The following is a 10117-nucleotide window of genomic DNA, read 5'->3' as shown; positions in this document are numbered from 1 at the left end:
TTTTTTTCTTTTTCCCAAATGGCTGAATTTATTTGCTTGATCAATAATGGTTCTGGCAAAAATGAGTTAAGCAATGCTGAGACATTCGTAATGAAATACTAATTTTAAAAATCCATGACACCTTGATAGAAATTAGAGTTTACACAAACAAAAAAGGAACCTTCAATATTGCCAGCAGGTATAAAGTGAATGTACTGAGACTGACAGGACAGCAAGAAGGTATTTGCACATTTATATCTGACACCTGACCATACTTTCAGTCACCAGAATATCTTCTCTCCAGATTTAAAAAATAGTATGCTGATTTCTATAACAAAGCTTTTTTTTCGTACAAAAATCAAATAATGGCCAACGAGTCACAACAGTGCAATAGGTAGAGGATTAAAAACTGCATCAAAGAGGTGCTGAAAATAAATACTACCTAGGAGGAGGAGGAGAGCGCCCTCGTGTGGGGTTTGTTTTCATTTCCTTGAGTGGGTGTGGGGTTTGTCTTCTGAGCCAGGAGCCTGGCCTGTCTCGCGGGTGCTGTTCACTCTGACAGAGTGCGCCTGCAGCACGTTGCCTCCAGAGCCCGGCCTCCCAGAAGCTTCAGAGCATCAGAGCATCCATTTCAGCAGATGGACCAGAAACAAGAAAATGGGACGGGGTGAATCACAACTATCATTCAAAGGAAAGGAATTTTTTTATTGCTCGATCTTGTCAATTGGGAGTCCACTAGTAGGTTCACTGAGACGATATGGATAGTATCAAACTTTTGTTTAAGAGCATATATATGGCTTATTCAGGCAAGAAGACGTGTACATTCTAGCCCAAGCAAGCAGAGTCATTCTGTTTTTAAGAAAGGTCAGTCATTTAAAAGATTTCTGGTTTGAGCAACATCCTCTGTGGATGCACCAGGCCAAGGAGACTATCTTTGATCAACCCAGTGAGAAGGCCTTTGCTGGTCCCCACAGTAAGAAACCGGCGGGAACGGGCGGCCTCTCGGCTGGCCTGCGCTGCCCGGGGTGGATGGGCTGGCTCCGCAGGCAGCCCGTCTGCGGCCAGATAGGCCGTCCTGGTGACTCTGGCTTATGGACTGTGGTTTAGAACTGCAGAAGGAGAGAGTTAGGAGGGTGGACCAGGGAACACCCACCATGCACTGCTCTGACCACTCAGAGAACCTGAGGTAGTTCCCCCATAGGGATCTGCACCAAGGTGTTGAAGGCACAAGCAAGAGTGAAGGTACCAGAGATCACGGAGGGCGCAGCACTGACCTGGTGTGGTTCCCCACTTGAATGATCCTGATTCTGCTGTGATAAAAAAGCAAAGAAAGACGATTTGTGGTTTAAAAAGAAGCCACTCAAGGGTTAAAATAGTTATTTCAAGTTAAGGAAGAAAATTAAAATCTTCAAATATGCTGACACTACCTGGAAAACTCATCTGTCCCTAAAGCCCACAATGCATCCCCTGCTTCGTCCTCCCATAGAACCTAAGCCTGACGCGAAGGAGTCAGACGTGTGACCGAGGAAGAGTCTGAGAAGAGAAGACACCTTTACAGAATGTACAGCGAGAGAGCCAGCCTGGCCCCCGGGTTACAGTAAGATGCATGAGTCCTTTCAGTCTCACGGACTCCGGATGGCCACGGAGGCTGCTCAGATGGACGTCTCCTTCCTGTGCCTGCTGGGCAATGGCTTTGCCGGCTTCTTGCCTGCCTTTGGTGGCTATTTAGCTGCTACTGGCTCGAGGATGCCATTCTTGGGCGTCTGGATGGCACCTCCGCGCCACTCGGGCTCCTCGTCCTCCTGCGCCTGCTGCTTGGCCCTGTCTGGCTGCAACTGGAGCAGCCAGGGCTGCATGCGCGGCTCGATGACGGCCTCACTCTCCTCGTGAATTGCTTGATTCAAATGGTTGTTCTTTATTTCCAGCTCTTCGTTCTGTCTCTGTAAATCTTCCAGAATGATCTGCAGCTCCTCCTCATCCTCACTCTCGCTCTCGGAGGAGTACTCCTCAGTCTCGCTTAGGCCCTGCTGCTGGTGACTCTGAATTTCCGCAGTCTCGGCTCTGAGGCACTCAATCTCTTCTTTTTCTGAGGCAATCTGCCGGCGCAGAAACTGCTCCATGCCCAGGAGCTCCTCCTGTTTAGTCAGGATCTCTTTCTCCTGAACAAGGAGAATATTTATAACTTCTTCATTTTCATTCATCTTTTTTTTTGGAAACAGCCTCTTTTGAAAGACTGGCTATCTCTTGTGCAATCTTGGTTTCACACCCCTGTCTTTTAGCTTCTCTCAGTTTTCTTCTGAGAGCTGTCAAAATTCTTTGTACTTCCCATAATCTTTCTTCTTCAGACAAATCCTTTATCCCACCCTGCAGATCTTGATGTAAACAATTCAAAAGCAACTCCTGTATCCTGATCTCCTCCTTGAAGCCTGCCTGGGTCTCTGGCAGCGTGGGCATCGTGGCCACGTTAGACCATCGCCGAGTTTTCGTCACTTGCTTTAGAACCACATTTCCAAAGAGTTCTTGCACATGTGTGAAGAACACATACAGGACTAGATTGCTGATCTGCACAGTTGGGCTGACCACTATATAAATGTTCTGTATATTCATTTTTGCTTCCAGTTCCTTTGTGATGACATGGTCCATGTGCACAACGAACAAAGAAATCAGAAGATAGTTACCTTCTGGCAGTTCTTTGAGTAAACGCTGGAATTCCTGCACTTTCTCAGTCTCTGTGGTCCTCCCATAAGCCTCTTCAAATCTAGGCATAAGCTCTTTGGTAAGCAAATTCTCCGGAAGATCTCACAAATACTGCTTCCGCAAACTGGCTACAGTGTTAGGGTCATATTCTTCCAAGTTTGTAGACTTCTCCTGGTCATAGGCTGCTTTTAGCTCATCCATCTTTGATTTAATTCCTGATACTCTGTAGATGCCTTCACACTTCATGCCATACTTCTCTACGTAATTCACGGAAAACGGCCAGCAGCCAAATGCCATCATATATCATGGTTCTCTCTACTGCACCAGCCAAAGGAATTCCAAAAATGGGTTTGAGACTTGGAACATCAATCTCAGGCACCTCTGGCTCCTGAAATGGCTTTTTCTTTTACTTCTTTTCCTTCCACTGTTTTAACTACATCAGCTGCTGTCAAGTCTTTTGACTTCTTTTTTTTTTTTTTTTTTTTTTACTTCTTCTCTTTTTTTCTTCTTTGTGCTTTTCTTCTTTATGCTTTTCTTCTTTGGGTTTCTTTTATTTTAAAATCCTTCTCCTTCTTTTTAGAAAAGCTGGGATTCTTGAACACATGGATTCCCTTGGGTCTCCTCATTTTAGAAGGACTTTCTGCCTCATCTCCAGAGCTATCTTCCTGAAAGGCTGCATAGCCTTCGGTCCTCTTTTCCTTTTTCTTAAAATTTCCTTTTTTCTTCCCATGGTCTTTCTCATCATCAGACACTATATCAGGAGGCTTGTGGAGGATGTCATGGGGAGGTGAGGGCTCACCAGTGTGGTACAATCCAGGAAATTTAGTAGGGCTGATCTCTTCAGAGCTGGGGGTCTGGGTAAGCCCACTGCCATGCTCCACCCTGTGGTGTTCACTGGGGCTGCTGGTGGGGGGCAGGAAGCACTTTGTCATGCTGATGCCCTGACTAGGAAGGGATGAGGTCTTCTCTGTTACCTATCCATTACACCTGTGCCCGCCACTGTGCAACCACCTGTCCCACTGCAGCCACCACCTCCTGGCACTCATGCTGCCACCACAGCCACTGGAGCCACCTCCTGACTATCTGATGGTTTTATAAAGAGGAGTTCCCCTGCATAATTTTCTCTCTTTGCCTGCTGCCATCCATTGATGACGTGACTTGCTCCTCCTTGCCTTCCACCTTGATTGTGAGGCCTCCCCAGCCATGTGGAACTGTAAGTCCACTAAACCTCTTTCTTTTGTAAATTGCCCAGTCTCTGGTATGTCTCTATCAGCAGCATGAAAACGAACTAGTACGTCTAATTTTACTTGTGATTTATTTGACCCATTGGTTATTTAAGTACATTATTTGATTTCCACATTATTTGTAAATTTCCTAGATTTCCTGCTGTTGTCAAATTATTAACAAGTTTAATTCTGTTGTGGTTAAAGAACATACTTTGTATGATTTTAATTTTAAAAAATGTACTGGGGCTTATTTTACAGATTAGCCTATAGCATATATATGAGGATAAATGTTCTATGTGTCCTTGAGAAGAATGTATATCCTACTGTTACTGGGTGGAGTGTTCTATAGATGTTTATTAGATCTGATTTTTATAGATGAGAAAAATGAGATCCAGATGGGAGTAATGGATTAATTCAATGTCACATACCAAGCTGGCCAGGGGTCACATGAATTCCTGGGGTGAATCATGTGAAACTGCCACTTGAACATCAAAAACTGTTAAAAACCAACAAATTCTTATAGTTCAACATCATAGAACACAAGCCTCCTGACTTTCTGTCCAGTGTTTTCATCACTGAACTGGTATCCTGTATTAGGGCAGGCTGTGCTGTGTAAATCATATGTCCTGAATTATCCTTGGCTTAAAACAATAGGTATCAACTACTTGCTCATCACATTCCATGAGGATAATGCAACTTTCCTCCAGATGGTGATGTAGGGATCACAGCTGCTTTCATCTTGTGCGTCCACCTTCTAGAACACATGGCACATATCAGAGGAAGAAAACTTCAGGATCATAGGTATGTTCTTAAGGGTGAGCCCTAGGGGTGGCTTAGATCACATCTATGCACATCTCACTGGCCAGAACCCAGTCATGCAGCCCAAACAAACTCTGTGGAGTCACCTTACTTACAGCATAATTTTGTATCCTTAGCCAATTCCACTGGGAATGTAGTCTAACTTGACAGTGGGAGGTGTCTGTGATCTCACCTCAAGAATTCAGCACTTTTTAAAATTTTCTTATTTTGGTAAGTGTTAAAATATATTTTCAGGAATTCAAAATGTAGGGCTTGGCAGGGCATGGTGGCTCACTCCTGTAATCTCAGCACTTTGGGAGGCCGAGGCAGGAGGATGGTTGGAGGCCAGGAGTTCAAGGTCAGCCCAGGCAGCATAGCAAAACATCATCTCTAGTGAAAATAAAAATTAAACGTAGGTATTGAAGATGTCTCTTGGGCTTAAAATATGAAATAATTCCTCTTGTCTAATTTTTTCAAATGTGCAGCCCTATTATGTTTTGGATAATTTAGAAGTTCTTAACAAGGCAAAACAGCTCCCCATTAAGACTGTAATAAACACACCAAAGGTTTCCAAGGGCTAGAGTATGGAATCCAGCTTGTTTCATTCAGCCATCTCCTACTTAAAAACAAAAAGTCTTTGAACTGCATTGCCATCTATAAATAGGAAAGGGAAATCAACTTCTGTAGGTTTGTAATCCCTGCCTCCAACTCTACGTCTACTGAAAAGGGCCCTCTGGCTGAACATTTCTCAGTTATGGTACAACACAGAGATGCCTGGCTGCGGTCCCTACAGTTCTACAACTTTACCCTGGACAGAGTCTCATTTCAACTCTGGTAAGCTTCTCATATACCCACCAAGTGAGCCAAATGGAAATTTTCAGTGTGCTCAGAGAAAGGAACCGAGATATGTACTCTCTGCAATTTTCTATTACATTTACTGCCAAGAGTGGCCAAGAAGTCATTTCCAAACCCACTTCTTAAAGGAACCCCAAGAAAGCCTGAGTGACTGGTAGCCACTGTGTATACTGAGAGGAGAGTTCAGGACTAGGAGGGCCAGGATTCTAGGAATTGTCCCCTCCTGTGGCTGACATGGAAACTGCAGGAGCTTCTCTGTAGCACAGCTAGGAGCTGGGGAAGAGGCCGGAGGGAAAACAAAGTCAGATTCTAGCACCTAGCACTAAAGGACCCTGAGTTCATACAGGTTGAACCCAAAATGAAGAATAGGGGAGAAATTTATCAAATTGTCTTAGAATGCTGAGGGGAACTGGCAAATCCCTACCTGTGTAGGAGATGGTTCTCCACATGACCCCATCCCTGTAAGAGATATATTGGTTTTTCTAGATGCATCTGTTCTATTATTCCACTTTCAGGAAGGGCCTTGGTTTGGTTCAAAACAGAAATATTCACTTCATAGTGGGTGGGGTGGGAGTAGCGGGTTGTTAAAGAACCTGGTATATTTTCCTTTTACTATTAAGAATTTGGGTTTCTTTGAGAACAGAAGTTCTCAATCATTTTTTCCTGAGAACCCATTTACACTCTTAAAAATTATCAAGGAACCCAAAGAGCTTTTGTTAATCTGGATGATATCCATCTATACTTATAACATGAGAAATTAAAAACCTTTAGTAATCCATTTTAGAAAATGAATATTCCCATTATATGTTACTTTAAATAGCATACTTTAAGGAAAAACAGCTATGTTTTTCAAAACAAAAATATGGCATTGTTTACCCTTTTGCAAATCTCTTTAATGTCTGGCTTAATAGAAGACAGCTGGAATCATATACTTCTCTTCGCACTCAATCTGTTGCAATATATTGGTCAAAGAATATGAAGAAACTCCTTCCTCACACAGATAAGTAGAAAAAGGAAGAAATATTTAAATCTTTTCAGATAATTTGGGGGTATTTTGAGTTTCCACACCTAAACCCAACAAGTGGTAGCCGTCTAAAGGTTAGTACAATGTGGAATCCAAAACCCTATCAATAAATATTTTATATTTGGTGACATTAAAACTCATCACTTTGGCATGTTTTCCAACACCAACAACCATTTATCTGATTCTCCACACACCAGTTGGCTGTCCTACAATTCAACTTAATCCTGACACTAACTACCTGGAGTTACAGTCAGACTCCACAGGTTCAGGGCTCAGTCTCACAAGACTTCCCTCACTTCAGATGCCAGTTGCAAGAATTGGGTCCCCAGATTATCCCACTTCTTTCCAGCTTGGCTATAAATCAGGGGTTCCATGACTCCCTCCCTCCTGTTTGGTGATCTGATAGAATAGCTCACAGAATTTGGGAAGACAGTTTATGTCCTACTATGTCCAGTTTATGTCCTGTTATAAAGGATACAACTCAGGAACAGTCAGATGGCAGAGATGCATGGGGCAAGGTAAGTGGAAAGGGTGCAGAGCTTCCCTGCTCTCACTGGGCACACCACTCTCCCAGGACCTGAATGTGTTCACCAACCTGGAAACTCTCTGAACTCTGTGGTCTAGAGGTTTCCATGGAGGCTTTATCATGCAGACATGATCCATTATTAACTTAATCTCCAGCCCCTCTCATCTCTCCAGAGGACTGGGTATAGGGCAAAAAATTGGAGGCTTCCATACGAGGCCTGGTTTTTCCAGTGACCAGTCTCCATCTGAAAATATTTAGGGGCCCAGCAAGAGTTGCTTCATTAGAACAAAAGATACTCCTATCACCCAGGAAACTCCAAGGGATTTAAGTGCTTTATGTCAGTGTATTAGTCCATTCTCACACTGCTATGAAAAAATGCCCAAGACTGGGTAATTCATAAAGAAAAGAGGTTTAATTGACTCACAGTTCTACATGGCTGGGGAGGCCTCAGGAAACTTACAATCATTGTGGAAGGCACCTCTTCACAGGGCGGCAGTAGAGAGAATGAGTGCTGAGTGAAGGGGGAAGCCCTTTATAAAACTATCAGATCTTATGAGAACTCACTCACTATCAGGAGAACAGCAGCATGGGGGTAACTGCCCCCAGGATCCAATTACCTCCCACAGGGTCCCTCCCATGACACGTGGGGATGACAGAAACTACAACTGAGATTTAGGTGGGGACACAGCCAAACTGTATCAGTCAGGAACCAGGGTCAAAGGCCAAATACATATTTCTTATTACACTACAACTGGTTGATCACTATACAATATTTTTTTACAACTAGTTGTTAGTACTACTTCTGATCTCATCAGAAAAATCTTTAAATATTGGGAAGCTGTCAAACTTACAGTGATGGATACAGGTTTTGCAAAAGTCTGATTTTTCACTTGAAAGCTTGAATGTTATCACAGACAACAAACACTATCATTTGTTTTTCTTGAAGTGACAGGCCCATGTCATTCATTTTGGAGGAAATGTCTGCCAAATGCCCAAATCTGGGTAACTGCAGTTTGTCTGTCAGTTCTGCTTTCAAGTAAAACTGGCGTTCCATAAAAAAGAGCTGCAGCTTGTGCATTGCAGGCCATTGCACAATGGCACGGCCTTCAGCAACCATCATCCTTGGGATGCAGCAGGATTGTTTCTGTGCATTTCCCACCCTGTCATGAGGGACATGACTGCTTCACGGGGGACATTCTTCAGTGACACTTTGTGTTTGTTTTTACTGCAAGTGCATGGTGGTGAAGGATGCAGTTACTACTGATTTGGTGTTGTCCCACTGCTGGGATTTGTGCTTACTTTTGCACAATCAGAGCAAATGTCTACATTGTAAAGAGGACAAATAATGTCCCAGTTCAACTATGAAAACAGTTTTGTCATTGCAGATCCTCTGAAAGGATCTTGGAGACTCCTAAAGATCCACTTTTTGGAGATCACTCTTTGCGAACTGCTATTTTAGAAACAATCCTCCTGCTACAAAGACTAAATATTTGGCTCACACGTGTAATCCCAGCACTTTGGGAGGCTGAGGCGGGTGGATAACTTGAGGTCAGGAGTTTGAGACCAGCCTGGCTAACATGGTGAAACCCCGTCTCTACTAAAAATACAAAAATTAGCCGGGTGTGGTGGCACGCACCTGTAATTCCAGCTACTTGAGAGACTGAGACAGGAGAATCACTTGAACCCAGGAGGCAGAGGTTGCAGTGAGCTGGGATGGCACCACTGCACTCCAACCTGGGCGACAGAGCGAGATTCCGTCTCAAAAAAAAAAAAAAGACTAAATACTAATATTTTCCTAGACATTCATTTATAGGAAAAAAAGAGGAACTATTTTGAAAAACTCCAACAAAAAAAACCAAAAAACCTCAGTTACCTTAGTTGTCAATGTGTAAGCCTCTAGAACAAACTCCATCTTTTAAAGTTTTGAACAGTATCTTGGGAATGCAGTAATAACAGTGACAATAGTGTGTGTTTGTTGCAGTGTTTACTACTGCGGGATGACTGTGCTTTGTATTTTAAATGCATCCTCTACAATATTCTTTAGTACCACACTTTTTTTTTTTTTTTTGAAGGAGTTTCACTCTTGTTGCCCAGGCTGGAGTGCAGTGGCGAGATCTCGACTCACCGCAACCTCCGCCTCCTGGGTTCAAGCAATTCTCCTGCCTCAGTCTCCCGAGCAGCTGGGATTACAGGCACGTGCCCCCACTCCTGGCTAATTTTTTTTGTAGTTTTATTAGAGACAGGGTTTCTCCATGTTGGTCATGCTGGTCTCGAACTCCCGACCTCAGGTGATCCACCTACCTCCGCCTCTCAAAATGTTGGGATTACAGGCGTGAGCCACCACGCCCGGCCTAGTACCACATTCTGTAGATGAGAAGACTGGGACACAGAGAGATGAGAGTGTGACAAGGTCAACAGTCATATGCAGTGACTAAGGCTCTGAATCCACGTGGTCTGATTCCCAGAGCCTTGATCCTTAAATCCTGCATAATATGCTGCATCACATCCAAGCTTCACATTTACTTACTTCTTTTCTGCCGTGCACGTGTATCGATTCAAATCCTCAAAGGGAAACCCAATGTCTCATCTCAACCACAGGGCCCCAAAAAAGGGCTCAGTAAACGTCTTCTGCATGAGGGACAGAACCTTTAAACCATGATTAGTAATGGGGCTAGAAGTGAAATACTCAAACAGCCAGCTCCCTCAATATTATTAACTCATTAAGGAGGGAACCAATAAAAAAGAAAAAAAACAAAAACAAAAACGCTTGTTCCTTGAAAGCTTTGAAAAATTGTGTGTGTGTGTGTGTGTGTGTGTATACATACACGTATCTATTTTACTTGTTTGCTAAATAGACACAGATATAGTCGGGTAGTTAACAAACATGTAGGTTGTATAAAAATAAAACTAGTTTATCTTCTTTGGGGCAATAAAATCCCAATACCTTTGAGGTTGACTCAGGCCTTATCCATTTCTGCAGGTTAAGAAGTTACAATTCTTCAGGTCTGTAAA

The 10117-nt window shown here is 43.3% G+C and overlaps 1 pseudogene; it reads right to left on the bottom strand.

Moving 5' to 3' along the window:
* Nucleotides 1-1434: 1434 nt before the first annotated feature.
* On the bottom strand, nt 1435-3754 carry RALBP1P2 (RALBP1 pseudogene 2; annotated as a pseudogene).

Source organism: Homo sapiens, chromosome 2 (genome assembly GCF_000001405.40).
Source record: "Homo sapiens chromosome 2, GRCh38.p14 Primary Assembly".
Taxonomy (NCBI): domain Eukaryota; kingdom Metazoa; phylum Chordata; class Mammalia; order Primates; family Hominidae; genus Homo; species Homo sapiens.
Note: the sequence above shows the minus strand (reverse complement) of the source record. Positions and strands in the feature narration are given on the sequence as shown.